This window comes from Homo sapiens, chromosome X (genome assembly GCF_000001405.40).
Source record: "Homo sapiens chromosome X, GRCh38.p14 Primary Assembly".
Lineage (NCBI taxonomy): Eukaryota > Metazoa > Chordata > Mammalia > Primates > Hominidae > Homo > Homo sapiens.
The window spans coordinates 149,925,928-149,941,215 of record NC_000023.11 but is presented as its reverse complement, the minus strand read 5'-3'; the positions used below and the strand labels follow the sequence as shown (position 1 = coordinate 149,941,215).

Below are 15,288 nucleotides of genomic sequence, written 5' to 3'. Positions count from 1 at the left end.
CCAGGTTGCTCAGGAGGCTCATGGAACAGTGCAGGCTCCAGACCACGAGGCCTGAATTCTGGAAGTAGCAGCGGGGATGCAGGACGAGGAGCCGTTTTGTCTCATCAGGCACTCCAGAGGCAGGGACCCAGAACTTGGTTATGAAGTCAATGCGGGAGACTAGATAAGGGGAGGGACAGAGGAGTAAAGCATGGCAGCACTACAGAACCTGAGCCCGTGACTGAGAGAAGAGAGTTTGAAAAGCAAGTTTGCCAGGGAAGTTGGGCTGTGTGCTGGGCGACTTAGGCCGGAGGAGGCAAGACATTAAGAGTGGGGATGTTTCTCATTACCTGCAAAAGAGGCGTTAAAAAAACGGTCCCTCTGGACCCCACTGGCAGGCACTGACGGAGCGGCCAGGACACAGGAGAGCAGGCCTGGGGGGCTCAGCCCTGCAAGACTCAGCCTAGAGCTGCATGGACCCCAGTCAAGTGTTCCCGCCCTTCTTGCTGCTTCTGTGCCCTCTGGGGGAAGACACTGGAGGTGCAGTTAGGTCGCCGCGGGAAAGTTTGGACTCTTGCCTAAGGGTGCATCACAGAAGGGCCTCAGCTCCCTCCCCCAACTCCACCCACAGCTCCACCCCTAGCTTTTCCTCCTGCAAGTCCGTCCCCAACTTCTCCTCTTGCAGCTCCGCCCACAGCTCCACCCCAGCTGTTCTGCCCCCCTGCTCCTCCTCCCTCAGCTCCGCCCCAGCTGTTCCTCCCACAGTTCCGCCCCCCAGCTCCTCCTCCCGCAGCTCCGCCCCAGCTATTCCGACGCCAGCCCCTGCTCCACCCGGCACTTAACCATTTCCGCCCACAGCTCTTTCCCACAACTACGCCCTCCTCTTGCAGGCGGCTCCTCCAGAAGCTCTGACCCAGTCCCCGCTGCAGCCACAGCCCCAGCTTCTTACCCCCAGCTCCTCCTCCCACAGCTCTTTCCCACTGCCCCGCCCTGCTACCCCTTCATCACCGCTCCCAGCTCCGCCTCCTCTAGCCCCGTCTCGCTTCTCCTACCCCTCTGCCCACCCCAACAACCTTTCAGCTCTTTCCTCCAGCTCTGCACTAGCTCCTCCCCCGCAATTCTCACCCGCCAGCCTTGGTGCAGCTTGGCTCCTCCTTCTCCAGCTCTTTCCCGCAGCCCCGCCCCATCTGCTCCCACAGCGCTTTGCCACAGCCTCGCCCTGCTCCTCCTCCAGGAACGCCCGGCTTTCCCTCAGCTCCACCCTGCAGCTGAGCTGTGCACCAGGCCCTCCCACAGAGCTTTCTCGTGATTCCACCCTACACCTCCCCAAGCCGCCGCTCCCCTAAGCTGGTTCTCAGGAGTCCGCGGAGTCCTCCCGCAGCTGTTCCTCGCTCAATTGCCCACTGCCCCGGCCTGCTCCTCACACCACTGATGGCAAAGCCCCGACCCCAGACCCTCCCCAGTGGTTTCTCTCGGCCCGGCCCTACCCCGCCCCTCCAACGCCTGCTTCCAAGGCCCCGCCCCCAGCCCATCCTCAGCGGTTTCTCTCAGCTCCGCCCCGCCCCAGCCCCACCCGGCTCCTCCTGCGGCTGGTTAAAAGGCCCCGCCCCCAGCCGCTCCCCAATGGCTTCGCTCAGACCCGCCCTGCCCCGAACCCCCCCCTGCTTCTCCCGCGGCTGCCTCCGAAGCCCCGCCCCGCGCCGAGCCCCGCCTCTCCCCATCTCCTCCCTGTTTCTCCCGCGGGTGCTTCCAAAGCCCCGCCCCCAGCACCCCCCTCAGCGGTCTCTCTCAGCCCGATCCAACCCTTTTCTGAGCCCCGCCCTGTTTCTCCTGTGGCTGCGTGCAAACCCCACCCCCCAGCCCCACCCCAGAGGTTCCCCTCGGCCCTGCCCCGCCCCCCCAGCCCCGCTTCTCCAAAGGCTGTTTTCAAAGCCCCGCCCCCGAGCCCCTCCCCGGCGGTTCCCTCAGCCCCGCCCCACCCCTCCCCGAGCCCCAGCCCCCCCCGAACCCCGCCCCGCCCCACTCCTCCCCCAGCCCTGCCCTGCTTCTCCAGCACCAGCTTCCAAAGCCCCGCCCCCAACCCCTCCCCACTGGTTTCTTTCAGCCCCACCTTCCTCCTCTCACCAGCCCCCTCCCTCCCCGCGCTGGTTCTCAGGAGTCCGCGAGCTCCTCCTGCAGCCTCTCCTCGCCCAGATCGCCCATAGCCCCGCCCCCAATGGTTTCTCTCAGCCCCGCCCCACCCCCTCGAGTCCCCGCCCCATCCCAAGTCCCCGCCCCATCCCCTCAAGTCCCCGCCCCACTCTCAACCCCGCCCCAGCGGTTTCCTCACTCCCGCCCTTCCCCTCCCCCAGCTCCGCCCTCCTCCTCTCAGCCCCGCCCCCATCCCCTCCCCATTGGTTTCTCCCAGTTCCTTCCTGCTGGTCTCGCAGCTCTGGGCTTAAAAATCCTGCCTGGTGGTCTCGTCCCGCCCCTCCTCTTCCTCCCTCCGGTTCCTTTTCCTCCTTCCGGTTCTTGGTCTAGGCTGCCTGTCTCGAGCTCCCCGGCCTTGTCCTGGTTGGCTGGCGCGGGACAGGATCCGGTAAACTGAACAGCGTCTCCTTGTGGCAAGTGCGTGCGTACGTGCGTGGCGACGTCACTGCGTGGCTTCGTGAATACGTGGCTTCCTAGCGATTTGGCGGTGTATAGGCGTGGCTGAATACGGGCCTCCTGCGTACGTGCGTGGTGTACGTACGTGCGTGATTACGCGCACACGTACGTTCCTCATGAAAGGGACGACGGGAGCTGCATGAAAGCCGAAGTTATGGACCGCTAGCATCTGTCACTGGCCACCGGTTTCCGGGAGTAAGCGGCAGCTACCTTACAGCCCTGACACGAGCCGGGTGCTCTCTCTTCTCACCGCGGCCCACGTCTCCTCGCTGGCTCCGGTGGCCTCGCTGGGTCGCGAGGAGGCGGAGGACTGTACTCTGAGGCCAAAAGCCAGAGTCGGCCCTGAACGCCCACGACTCTCAGGGTCCAGAGGCCGTGAGACCGGCCGCGGCTGAAAGGTACCAGGGCCCCTGATGCCGGAGCCCGTGTGCTCGGCCCTCTTGCAGACGGTACTTGCGGGCTGGGGTTTCTTTCCCCTGGGTTTCGGGCAGAGAACCCGTGCGGGGCGCGCCCGAAGCGCCCTTTGGTGTCCCTTGCTCTCCCCATGGTCTCGGCCCCCCTCCTTCTAAGCGCGTGTACCCGCGACCTGCGTCTGCAAGTGCTGCTCCACACACAGCGGCCCCATCTCGGCCCGGTCTTCCCTGCCTCCCGCTTGGCCCCTGTGCTGTAAGCTCGCCTGGACCCCAGGCCGGGCGGTGCATAGCTCTGTGGCCTGTGGCCCCGTGCTCAGCATGACCTAACCAGAATTAAGCAGTGGACAATGGGATTTAGGCCCCCCAAACCCTCGTCCGATGACAATGGGAGGGGAAGTGTGATTTTTCTCCCCTCGGATGGAGCGTGCTCAGCTGTAGGAATGTGACTCAACTTGCTGAAATGATTTTCTGCTCTGCGGACTGGTGCACCCTGTGACCCAGACAGATGTGGAGGGTCCCACCGCTCTGATTAGCAGAACCAAACCGTGAGTGAGGTGCACATGTGTTACTCTTAGGACCGGCCCTCCCAGCTCTTGGTTTCCAATGCCTGCTGAGTAGAAGACCTTCCTAGGGCCATTAACCAGCTTTGCTGACTTGCATTTAATGACCTTTCCTCTTTATCTTCCTTGTTGTGCAGGTAAAGAAACCAAGTGGAAGAGTGTTTCCTCCTCTGGCCGTAAAGCAGGTACTCTCTGCAGCACCAGGTAGGAGGGGACTCAACCCCCTTCTTGCCTTTTCAGTTACATCAGTTCCTACTAGGGATTCCACACACACACAGTTGTTGTGATTTTGTGGTGATGACGAGAAAAGGGTTGGCTAAGAAACTGGGCGGCAGAAAAGAGGCAAACATTCACTGTAGCCATTTATCCCGATGGAAGTGGCCAGGCCCTGTGGGGGACATTCAGCCTCCGTCAGAAGTAATCCAGAACCAAGGAACCTGGTTATCTTTGGTCACTCATCAGAAGAATAATCATGCTCAGGGGCCACAAGTGTGTGAGGAAATGGCACCATGGATGGGTTGGTGGAGGGTACACGGGTGAGTCTTTGTGGAAAGTCATTTGCTGGCAGATATCAGCATCTTAGATGGGCGTGCCAGGCGGCCGAGGCATTTCCTTCAGCATGTCTTCACACAGCGAGTGTTAGAAGTAATGTCATTTCTAGTGGCAAAAGTGGGAAGCAACTTGTAACTCTCCATCAGTGGAGGAATGGTCAGGCAAATTATGAGACGACCAACAATGGGATATCACCCAGGCAGTGAAAAACAAGGTAGATGAAGATTGTCAGGTGGAAAGAATGGGCTTGATGTGCTGTCAAATGGCAAACTCGTGCCCTAGCCTGTGCAGATGTGTTGGGAACAGCAGTTTGCCAAGATGGCTGAAACAAAGGACCATAAAGGGGCTGGCTTAAAGAACAGACAATCATTGTCTCGCAGTTCTGGAGGATGGAAGTCTGAAATCAAAGTGGTGGCCAGGTTCGTTTGTTCTGTGGGCTGTGAAAGACAATCTGGTCTGTCCCTTTCTCTTAGCTGCAGGCGGCTGGCCGGCAATCTTTGGCACTCATTAGCTTGTAGAAGCATCTCCCTTATCTCTGCGTTTATCTTCTCATGGTGTTCTCCCTGTGTGCGTGACTGTCTCTCAAATCCCCCTTTTCATAAGGACGCCAGCCACATTGGATGCGGGTCCGCCCTGATGGCTTCAGTCTCACTTGATTGCCTCTGTAATGACTCTGTTTTTATATATAAGGCCACATTTTGAGGTGCTGGGGTTTAGGACTTCAACATACGCATTTTAAGAGGACACAATGCAACCCATCACAACTGACAAAGGCTCTGAGGTAGAAACAAGCTTGGCATGTTCCCTCAGGGGATGGAAGGCCTGTGTGGCTTCAGGGTGGTGAATAAAGGGGAGAGGAGAGGACGTGGCTGGGGTGGGAAACCAGATCAGGAGGGACCTTGAGTGCCCTGAGAGGAAGTGTGGATTCTGTGCTAGTTGGGGCAGGGAGCCCTTGAAAGGTTTCAGTAGAGGAGTGACATAATCTCATTGTCCCTGTACCAAGATCATTCCGATGGCAGTGTGGTCACAAGAGTGCAGAGGACAAGTGCTGGGGGGGGGTGGGGGTGCTATCAGGAGACTTCTTCAGAAGGCAGGGGGTTTTAGGGGATTGGATTGGGATTGTGGCCATAGAGATTATGGAAAGGGATCAGATTCAGTGTCGGTTTTGGACACAGTGCCACGGGATGTGGGCCGCAGATGTGGGAAAGAAAGGCAGGGCAGAGAGCAGCTAGGTCTGGGGCAGGAACACTGTAGCTGGTGATGCCACTCACAGAGGTGGAAGGGAGGTGGACTTGGTGGTGATGGTTGGGGTCCTGAGTATGTATGGGCCTGTCCACCTAAGGCTGAGTCTGAAGGGGGGTGGCCTGCACCACGGGATTCAGAGCAGGACGGTGAGCAACATGGGGGTCCCAGAAGAAGGGAAGGAGTGTGCCCAGCCATGCTGGGGCTGCTGAGCATGGACTAAGATGAAGACAGGACTGGCATGAGGCCGGCCATGGGTGCTTGTGGGGATAGGTCAGTCAGTGGAGTGGGTGGTGGGGGGGGTGGGGAATAAAGGGAGAAAGGTGGGGGTGGGGGCAGAAGGTTCAGAGAGGAAGTAGAGACTGCGCATGTAGACAGCTCTTCTGAGGTCTCGGCTGTTCAGGGTTGTAGAGAAGGGAGGCAGAGTGGGAGGCGCGCGTGTGCTCAGAGTAGGGATGCTGAGCGAGCATAGATGGTGGCTGGTGGCACCCAGGGCCCGGAGTGAGCCAGAGGAGCAGGGTCCAGAGCACAGCAGGCAACCGGCTCAGCTGAGGCAGCTCACCCCAGAGGCGGGAGAAAAGCAGGAGATCTGGAGCTCAGAAGGCTGCAGTGCAGACTGGGAAAGGAGTGAATACCAGGCAGCTTTGGCCCTATCAGGGCTTTGTCTCATGAGGGTGGGTATATTTTCTTAAAATCATAGAGCGTACTAGAGGTTGCGTTTATGTGTTGAAAGGAAGGACAGAGAGAGGAGTAGGGGCAGCTCAAGGGTGGAGTTCAGGGCCAGGGGGCGGGGCCACGGGCCTGAGGGGTGAGGGCGGCCACTATTTCTGACTGTTCTGTTAGGTGCCACGTACTGGGCTGGGTGCTCTTGGTGCCTTATCTCCCTTCCTCACAGCCATGTGGAAACTGAGGCATCTCAAGAGTCTATGACTGGGCTGAGGTTCTGGTTTCAAGCCCAGGGTTCCTTCCAAGGCACAGGGCTGTCCTCCGTGCAAGAGGAGGGGACCCTCTCCCAAGCCACACACGCAGGAGGCTGGGCAAGAGTTGTGGGAAGTCAGAGCCCGTGTGACTGTGGGCTGGTGCCTCATTCTCCTCAGCCATAGAGTGGGCCTCACAGTACCACTGACCCTGCTGGGTTACTTGAAGATTCAATTTGATGATCTGAAGATCATGCCATCCCAGAGGCTGGCACGTGGAAGGCATGTGTGGGGGGTTGCCAGTTGTTCTGATTATCATTCTTCTTTTCTCAGCTCAGATTGGGACAGGGGCGTCTGCTGACAGTGGAGAGCAGTGGTGGGGGAAGGGGCTTGAGGAAGGTGGCACCCAGAGGGGTGGAGAGGAGATGTCTGACTGAGGGCCATCTGAGGTCACGGTGCATCCTGAGGACAGAGCTGAGATTGGATATCAACGATGTGGGCTCAGCAGCCCTGGAGTAGGAGCTGGGAAGGTCAGTGCCTTGGTGGCGGCAGGGCCAGGGCACTGAGAGTATTGGCAGGGCACAGCAGGGGAAAGGGAAGAGAAGCAGAGCGTGGGACTGTCCCTCTGTGCTGGAAGAGGGCTAACACCAGCCCCGACTCTCCGCTCTGGCTAGGCCGAGGGGGCCCTCTGTCCTCTGTGTTGCCCTAGGGCTCGGTGACCTCTGTCATAGCACTGACCACATGCTATCCTGCCTGTGCCTTCCTCTAGCTGTCCCCGCCCTACTCCGGACCGCCCCAAAGACTCCATGGGATGGACCTGAGTCAGCCGAATCCTAGCCCCTTCCCTTGGGCCTGCTGTGGTGCTCGACATCAGTGACAGACGGAAGCAGCAGACCATCAAGGTCAGTGCGATTTAGGCCACCTGAGAGACACGGGGGGAAGGTCAGGCCACTGCCCATGAGCTTGAAGGGCTGGCGTGTGATGCGCTTCTGTGCTTCCGCAGGCTACGGGAGGCCCGGGGCGCTTGCGAAGATGAAGTTTGGCTGCCTCTCCTTCCGGCAGCCTTATGCTGGCTTTGTCTTAAATGGAATCAAGACTGTGGAGACGCGCTGGCGTCCTCTGCTGAGCAGCCAGCGGAACTGTACCATCGCCGTCCACATTGCTCACAGGGACTGGGAAGGCGATGCCTGTCGGGAGCTGCTGGTGGAGAGACTCGGGATGACTCCTGCTCAGATTCAGGCCTTGCTCAGGAAAGGGGAAAAGTTTGGTCGAGGAGTGATAGCGGGTAAGTGACAATGTACCAAATGCGCAGACAACGCCTAGGGCTGCTGCCCAAGATCTTGCTTGGGAATTTGGGGGCTTCTCTTGTCATCTGAACTGATTGGCGTGTATAACACAGTTTCCTTTGGCAACACACCTTCAAAGGGGCGGCAAGGACCTTGGGCTGGGGGTTGGTATGGCTGGCTTCCGCAAGCTCTGGTAAATCATTTCTCCACTCTGGGCCGCAGTTCTGTTTCTGATCTCAGTGAGAAGCCTGGTCAGGGCCATGTGCACATGGTGTTTGTGGTGTTTGGCTGTGTGTATTTGCACATACATGTGTGAGTGCACATGTGTGGCAGAGACCATGAAAAGCAGCCCAGCCCGCCGAATGGGTCAGGTGGCCTCTAGAGTTGGGCTGCCCGCCTGGCTTCATGAACCTGCCCCAGCCCCACCACTCACAGCACCCTGGGAAAGTCCCCTAACCTCTAGGTGACTGAGGCCCGACATCAGCATCTGTCCCCTGGTGACCTGCTCAGGCATCACCTGTAGCTTCCCAGGCAGTGGCTGGTGCCCTTCCAATCTGCAACCGCTGCTCTCAGAAGTCTGGCTTGGACCTGCCTCTTACTTGTGTGGCTTCATGAGGACAAGGCCCTCTCCTCTGCCTTTCTGGAGCCCTCCCCCTGCCTCTCCCAGCGTTTCCTGAATCGGGTTTGGTTCGTTATCAAAGCTACGGAAGAAGGACTTGACTCCCTTCTTGTCATTTTGCTGATGCTGTCTTACTCTCTATTGATTGTGACTTTGAGTAACTGTGTTGTCACATGGGCAGGCCTTGGGCTATGGAAGTGAAAGGCATTCATGTGTATCTCTCTTTGTGTACAGGACTCGTTGACATTGGGGAAACTTTGCAATGCCCCGAAGACTTAACTCCCGATGAGGTTGTGGAACTAGAAAATCAAGCTGCACTGACCAACCTGAAGCAGAAGTACCTGACTGTGATTTCAAACCCCAGGTGGTTACTGGAGCCCATACCTAGGAAAGGAGGCAAGGATGTATTCCAGGTAGACATCCCAGAGCACCTGATCCCTTTGGGGCATGAAGTGTGACAAGTGTGGGCTCCTGAAAGGAATGTTCCAGAGAAACCAGCTAAATCATGGCACCTTCAATTTGCCATCGTGACGCAGACCTGTATAAATTAGGTTAAAGATGAATTTCCACTGCTTTGGAGAGTCCCACCCACTAAGCACTGTGCATGTAAACAGGTTCCTTTGCTCAGATGAAGGAAGTAGGGGGTGGGGCTTTCCTTGTGTGATGCCTCCTTAGGCACACAGGCAATGTCTCAAGTACTTTGACCTTAGGGTAGAAGGCAAAGCTGCCAGTAAATGTCTCAGCATTGCTGCTAATTTTGGTCCTGCTAGTTTCTGGATTGTACAAATAAATGTGTTGTAGATGACTGGTTAGTGTTTGAGGCTTTGTTCTATGTTTTCCCCTGATTTGTTCTGGTCAAAACTCATCAAATGTGTAACTAGCATCCAGGCGACATTACAGAAAGTCTGGGACCTGGCACTGAATGTTTGCCTGGTAGTGACTAGCCGTTAATCAACCGACTCATCCAGGATGAAGAGGACGTCAGACTTAGAGCAGCTGTCTGTCCTTTCAGGTTACTCTCACTCTTCTGAAAGTGTCTGTCAGTTTCTGAAGCATGTGTGTTACCTGCATCACACAGCTACTTCCTATCCTAGCAATACATCCAAAATACAGCTCTAGTAGAGTGAGGTTAACTTGGAAATGTGATCAGTAGTGTTGTTTTATTTTGTAGTAATTTTTTTTTTTTTTTTTTTTTTTGGTGATTTAGCAAAGTTTCTAGTTGTTATCCATGAGGATGATGGGCATTTCCCCCCAGGTATTGACTGCAGTGGCCCTTCTCTTCTGAGCCAGGATGTTATGGTGGTTGTACATCCCATGGCAGATGGGGTGGCCTGACTTTCAAGTGGGCCTCTTTGGAGGCCCCTGGATGCTAGGCTAGGGATGCTGAGCTGCTGACCAGACACTTCCTGGCAACATTGGGAGGGACCCATGAGGAAACAATCTCCTGTTTGAAGATACAGGAAGATATTGCCGGAATCAGGCGTCTATTCTTTCTCCTGACCAGCAGGCCAATCTCAGGGGACCAGGTCTTCCTGGGCTTGGCCTCGACACTTCCTAGCAACATCCTTTGCTGAGTGTGTGAAAATGCTGCTTCTCCAAATAAACGAGGACAATGGGGACCAAAGCCTGTCTTGGACAGGATTTCCAGCCTCCCCTGGTTTCTGCCAATGAGATGTATATAATATAGAAGGTTAAAAAAAAACACAGACAACAGTTCTCATTTAAATTGTTTATTATTTATTTCCATGGAATTTTGTTTTTCTTTATTAAGACCAAAAATGTGTTTCTCATTAGAAAATGGCAACTTTTATGGGCCATTAGTGGCCTGTGAGTTCACGAATTTGCAGTGTGTCTGAACTGTTCACAGAGTCTACACTTGTAATCTGAGGAGCCTTCCTACTCCTCCTCATCGTCAGAGGGCTCATTTGGAGACATGACTGAGAGGGAGGCCAACAGAGCGTAGTAACAGATATTGTACAAAGACATTACACTACCATTATCTGAGTAAACCAGACTACTAAGAATCCCTGTGCCTTCCATCCAGGTAGTAGCCGAAGATGTAAATGTGACATTCCCAGAGGTGCCCTCCCAACTTGGGCCATTTGGTTCCTGAGGGGGCCCATTTCCCAGGGGATGCCTAGTGGCACTCTTCTTGGACCACATGCCAGAGCGCCTGAAGGACTGGGTGCCACTGGGCCCCTGAACACTGGGGGCTCCCTGCTGACACATTTTGATTGCTTCTTTCCTGGCATTGATGTGATAGATACGTAGGGAGCGTCTTGTAGCTACCAGATTCTTTCTCTTTGGAGTTGGGACACGGGTCGCTTGCTGAGCGGTGTTTCTGAGGGCATCCTTTCTCTGGATATTCTCCAGGAGCCTGGGCTTGTCTCTCTGAAAATTGGAGTTGCAGTAGATCTGAAACAAAATGAAACATGTTAGTTGTTCTGGGATAAATTATTCCTTTCCCACCTCTCAAAATTATGATTTTGTTTTGCAATGGAGAAAAGAATGCTTTAAGTGGCAGCAAGTGTGGTTATGCTCTACAGCATGACCTGACTAAAGATAAACAATTCATAGATCAAGGCAGTAATATATAAATAGCATGGATTTTGATATTAAACTGCAACCCCGTAGAGGTAATATGCAGGTCTGCAAAATATGATGCTTACATTATCTCTAAGGGGGTTGCAGTTTAATATCAAAATCCATACTTTTTAAGTTCTATACTTTTCATCTTTCAATAAACAATATTTCACATTTTCAAATGCTATCTTTGACACTTAAGCTCTTACAGTATATTATTCAAATTGGTGTCCTATGAAGATATGTTTGAGAAAGAGAGAAAAGGGATTACAGAAATGCTTTCTACTTTACCATCATTTTCTTGTTTCCTGGAGAGTTGCTTGGGCGTGTTTTGCAGAATCCATAGAGGTTCAGCTGGCGAATGAAACTCGTCAAGTTGTCTGTTTTGAAGATCCTCTCTGCACCTTTCCGTTGAAGAACCTCCCTCTGGAAGAGATCCTTGTCGATGATCACGGCGTCTCCATCATCGTTCCAGCTCACAGACTTGAATGTGTCTTCCTCCACAATCGTCCAAAGCTTTCTTGGGAAGGAGAGCCTAAAAAGGTTGTGGTTGTCTTCCACGTTGACCACGCGTTGGTTTCGGTCTTCTGGTGGTGAGTTATCTTGGGAGCCTGGATCTTGGCTCATGGCTTGGTCCTCGTGCCTGTCCAAAACCTCGCTGGAATCTGGATTTGGATCAGGTGAAGAACCAGATGGGCCCCCGCTTGTTGGCTCTCCACCAACAGATGGGGCCAGCTTGGCTTCATATTCCTGTTCAGTGTTCTGACTCGCCATGGAGCTACACCAGAATCAGGAGCATTTTGTACCCAAGGCCCTTATCACTGTCCTAGCAAGTCCAAAATGCCTTCAGTCAGAGTAGGCGTGCCCAATAAATACTGTCCACAAAATTCTAGAGTCTCGGTATCAGGGCAACCAGTGGCTTAACTCATCATCTGCTGTATTTGTCGCATGATGTCACAAAGGTGGCTCTCAGCCAATCTGGAGAGGGGGCCCTGGCCAGGTGTTGGGGGAGTAGACAGGTGGCATGGCCTTCAGCTTCTCCCTCTTCTAAAAGTATAAACAGGCATGGTTCAAGTTCCCAGAAAAGTCTCCCATCTTCTGACAGTCACATTGTGTCAAAGGGCCAGGCCCCAGATGAGCTGAGAAACCATGGCTCTATGGCCACTCCCAACCCTGAAGACAGGGGAGGCCATTTGCTGGCCTCTAATTTGCTCAAGAGCCAGCCCCTAGTTATCCCTAGCTTGGGTTTCACCAAGACTGCCTGACTCAGATGGACCCCTCATGGGTGACTGCCTTCTAGGAGATGGTGGTCCCTACCAGGCTGTTTGGCCTGATCTGTGTGGTAGCACCCCTCTTTTCCAATCCCCCCATCTCCTTCCTGCTTTGGTCTCTTCCAGGTACTCCTAATGATTGGTTGCATGTGCTCCAGTGGGCCCAGATAAAGTGTTTCTTATTCCCCTTGGTCAAGTTGTCCCCAGAGTGGTGCTGTGCCTGAGCATGGTGGGAGCACTCCCCTCACTCGTCTACCACTGTGTTACCCAGAGCATCATTTGTGGTTGGATGGCCACATCCTCAGCTGTGCTTTGGAGTCTCCTGTGGAGCTCTGCTTGCCCTTGCATCTCACCCTCTTGCAGATCACAACAGGAGATTACCTTTAGTTTCATTTTTGCCCATAAATACTGTTTTCATTGCCCAAGACATGTTCATTTCTGAGGCCTGCTTTACACAGACTAGCCTAAGAAAAGTTTCTGCTTGTCTAGTTAGACCTGACTAAAGTAATCCAGCACAAAAGTTCCATCATTATGTATTTGAAAACAGATGAGCGTATGAGTGTGTGTTGCGGTGGGCAGGAGGAGGGAGAAAACCCAAATGAAAGCCATGTTCAACCCCAGATGAGAGGATACAACAGTCTTTCTGGTGATACATTTTCTCTAGCCATTAAAGACAACTTTGTTCTTAATATTCACTCTGTATAGGGAGACAGAGTGATACAGTGGAAAGGCACCAGACTGAAAGGACCCTGGGTCCTTGTCCCACTGAGTAGCACCCTTTGCCCACTCAGGGTCGGCCCTGAGTGCGAAGAGGGTTGGAAGAGGCTCTTCCAAGGTGCTTTTCAATCTCAGGGCTCTCTAATCCTTCATGGTGCCCCCAATGCCTGGATGCAGGCTTGGTTCATGGTCACCAAGCTTTTTAAACAGGTTTACAAAGGTTTTGTTCAAGGACTCAGTGTAACCTGTAGACACACACACTCTGAGGCTAAATATTAAAATAGAGGCCATTGGTGAGATCTCTAAATGAGGATCCTTGAGTATTCAGTTAGACAGCTGGTATCTTTCACTTACATACCAAAGTGCTTTTTCATAGGGGAATTCTTAAGACTGAGAATGACATTTTGTTGTGGCTTTTGCGAACTTATAAACTCTGCTGATTACTTATATAAAGGCTTTTGGCCATTGGGTGGGAGGGGAATTATCATGAAGAAAATTACTAGGGAAACTACACGGTGGCATTCAGCCAAGAGCTGGTATTGATTTGATTTAGTCACACTATGTCATGTGGCTTCTATAGGACCATTAGCGACCATTGTCCTTTGTTTTAAGTCACAGAATGTACACTGGGATTTCGAGTCTAAGACATCAAGCTCCTCTTGTCCCCTGGAGGGAATATTCAGGGCACTGACTTAAGTCTAGTCAAGAAGAGTCATGGTGGGAAATCCAGCCTCCTCTGGCTAAGCCTGCTCAGTCCCCAAAGATGAGCTCTGCAACTTTCAGCAACCATTCAGACATTCTTTATGAGTCACCTGCCACCTGCAAGCCACTTTGAGGAAAATGGTTGGTCTTCTCTTCCATGCTCCAAAAGCCCCTGAGATGGCCCCTCTGCGTTGCTGCATTATGAATAAAATCATCATGGTCAGGCGACCCAAGCAGAGCACAGCTGACTATGGTATGAGGACCAGTGGCCCTGTGGAAAGCGGTCTCAGTGCTGACTCGCTGCAGCTTCTTTGTAGCTATGCAGCAATCAAGAATAGTGCTGAGCTCTTGATGGTGGGGCCCCAAGGTATGAGGCCAGCCACAGGCCAAGACTTGCTGTGTAGGCCTTGCCTGTCACATGATCTGCCAGGCCCTCTTCATCCTCCCCGTGGCCTCTCAGGATCTTCTTCCCTGCTGATCTCTCCCAGGCTCCAGGATGTGTCCCTGCAGTTGGTTCATCCCACCCCAGAGGAGTCTTTCTAAACTGTGGCTCGGAACTTGTCAGTTGCTTAGGCACCACCTCCTCACACTTCCAAGGCCTTCCTTTCCCAGCCTCGTTAGCCACTGGGCTGCTCTTTCTCACACACTCAGGTATCCGCCATGCCACCTGCCCTTAACCCTCCTTCACTCAGCATTTGCTTGATGCTGGGTCCTGGGTAAGACAACTCTCAACCTATTGCGGGATCTGGCCAGCAGTCTGCAATGCAACGGTGCTCTCTCTTTGTTCCCAGGCAGATCGGCAGGTCGAGAAATAATAGACACACGCAAGATAGCAAAATCTGGGTCCAGGGGGGTCACCGCCTTCTGCTCCCACGGTGCCAACAACGCACTGGATATACCGGCATTTATTATTAAGTTTGGTGAGAGGGCAGGGGAAGGTTAGTGAGGGATTTAGGGTCATTTGATTATGAGGTGAGATGGTCACATGGGGATGAAGTAATTCTTTAACATAACATCTGTATGCAGAAGTACAGTATACAGGGATAAGAATTTATGATATAGTGTGTGCATCAGTAGTTTCTAACAGAGCCTTAAAACAGAAACACAGTCTTTCCATGACCTATGATTAGCAAGATATTAATCAGCAGTAACAGTTGCAGCAAAAGCTGGTTACAAACAATCCATAGAAACAGGATGTGAAGCTAGACAACCGGTTAGACCAGAAATTCTCAGAAGGGAGTATGCCTTAACCCTAAAGAGGCCTAGAAGAGCCGTGGCAAGATGAGGGCGTTTATAGCCCTATCTTATCCATATGGACAGGTGCTCCTCATGCATCCGTTTATAGGCTCTCCACAAGGGTCACATTCCATTCCCAGAGCTATGAACATCTGCTTTTCTAGGATAGGAATCTTGGTGATGTGAAACCTCCCTGACTGCACGTCCATTCATAGGCTCTCTGCAGGGGAAAGCACATCACGTGCTGTTGGCTCATTCTGGCAGTCCAACCTGGCATTGTCTTTACACAATCCTGCATGCAATTATGTATTTACAATAATCAGGAGCATTTCATCTTTTATTCCATAGCAATAGTTTCAGGGGGTCTCCCTACATCAACCTCTGGTTCCCTCTGGTGCTGTTTTCTGAGCACACTGTGAACTTCCTTGCTGGTAAGGGTGCTTGTGCTGCCTCCCCTATGGGAATGCCCTTTTCAACCCAGAAGTCACTCAGCTTGTCAGGGTCCAGGTCACTCCATGAGGTCAGCTGGCAAGGCTTATTCCCAGGGGCTGGCCCAGCACAGCTC

General features: G+C 53.5%; 2 protein-coding genes and 1 long non-coding RNA gene across 24 annotated transcripts in view, besides 4 other annotated features; 1 reads left to right on the top strand and 2 right to left on the bottom strand.

The window, feature by feature from the left end:
• Positions 1-2,668, bottom strand: part of EOLA2-DT (EOLA2 divergent transcript) — a 78,240-nt gene extending 75,572 nt beyond the window's left edge. The window contains exons 1-2 of the long non-coding RNA NR_027456.1: positions 2,430-2,668; positions 330-557 (exon numbers count right to left, since the gene is read on the bottom strand). This is a non-coding gene — a long non-coding RNA (EOLA2 divergent transcript). The remainder of the gene's footprint in view (positions 1-329; positions 558-2,429) is intronic.
• Positions 720-829: a silencer, noted in NCBI's record as "silent region_21049". NCBI's record gives its function as "represses an Ori minimal core promoter by ATAC-STARR-seq in GM12878 lymphoblastoid cells {active_cell/tissue: GM12878}" and the evidence as "EXISTENCE:reporter gene assay evidence [ECO:0000049][PMID:35858748]".
• Positions 1,480-1,539: a silencer, noted in NCBI's record as "silent region_21048". NCBI's record gives its function as "represses an Ori minimal core promoter by ATAC-STARR-seq in GM12878 lymphoblastoid cells {active_cell/tissue: GM12878}" and the evidence as "EXISTENCE:reporter gene assay evidence [ECO:0000049][PMID:35858748]".
• Positions 1,820-1,899: a silencer, noted in NCBI's record as "silent region_21047". NCBI's record gives its function as "represses an Ori minimal core promoter by ATAC-STARR-seq in GM12878 lymphoblastoid cells {active_cell/tissue: GM12878}" and the evidence as "EXISTENCE:reporter gene assay evidence [ECO:0000049][PMID:35858748]".
• Positions 2,010-2,279: a silencer, noted in NCBI's record as "silent region_21046". NCBI's record gives its function as "represses an Ori minimal core promoter by ATAC-STARR-seq in GM12878 lymphoblastoid cells {active_cell/tissue: GM12878}" and the evidence as "EXISTENCE:reporter gene assay evidence [ECO:0000049][PMID:35858748]".
• Positions 2,669-2,724: 56 nt separating the features above from the next.
• On the top strand, positions 2,725-11,684 carry EOLA2 (endothelium and lymphocyte associated ASCH domain 2). Of its 22 annotated transcripts, XM_017029593.3 has the most exons (7): positions 2,725-3,023; positions 3,736-3,783; positions 6,643-6,839; positions 7,079-7,211; positions 7,313-7,594; positions 8,449-8,627; positions 11,135-11,684. In XM_017029593.3, the coding sequence occupies exons 5-7, from the start codon at positions 7,342-7,344 to the stop codon at positions 11,141-11,143; spliced, it is 441 nt and encodes a 146-aa protein (XP_016885082.1). In that variant the 5' UTR covers positions 2,725-3,023; positions 3,736-3,783; positions 6,643-6,839; positions 7,079-7,211; positions 7,313-7,341; the 3' UTR covers positions 11,144-11,684. The 22 variants fall into 22 exon arrangements, with proteins under 22 accessions (XP_016885082.1, XP_024308159.1, XP_047298135.1 ...); XM_024452391.2 differs by lacking the exon at positions 6,643-6,839 and having other exon boundaries at positions 2,725-2,820; XM_047442179.1 differs by lacking the exon at positions 6,643-6,839 and having other exon boundaries at positions 2,725-2,820; positions 3,736-3,802.
• Positions 9,929-11,643, bottom strand: HSFX4 (heat shock transcription factor family, X-linked member 4). The gene is made up of 2 exons (NM_001351114.2): positions 11,089-11,643; positions 9,929-10,629 (listed from the first exon to the last, which is right to left on the bottom strand). Exons 1-2 carry the CDS (start codon positions 11,569-11,571, stop codon positions 10,111-10,113), a joined length of 1,002 nt encoding a protein of 333 aa, NP_001338043.1. The 5' UTR covers positions 11,572-11,643; the 3' UTR covers positions 9,929-10,110.
• Positions 11,685-15,288: the final 3,604 nt, after the last annotated feature.

What these genes read in the sequence shown, in the direction of transcription:
- HSFX4 (NM_001351114.2), bottom strand. Translation starts at nt 11,571, where the DNA reads ATGGCGAGTCAGAACACTGAACAGGAATATGAAGCCAAGCTGGCCCCA. An exon ending in CAGGAAACAAGAAAATGATG is followed by an intron (nt 10,630 to 11,088) that starts GTAAAGTAGAAA and finishes ATTTTGTTTCAG; the next exon opens with ATCTACTGCAACTCCAATTT.
- EOLA2 (NM_001438796.1), top strand. Translation starts at nt 7,342, where the DNA reads ATGAAGTTTGGCTGCCTCTCCTTCCGGCAGCCTTATGCTGGCTTTGTC. An exon ending in TGGTCGAGGAGTGATAGCGG is followed by an intron (nt 7,595 to 8,448) that starts GTAAGTGACAAT and finishes CTTTGTGTACAG; the next exon opens with GACTCGTTGACATTGGGGAA.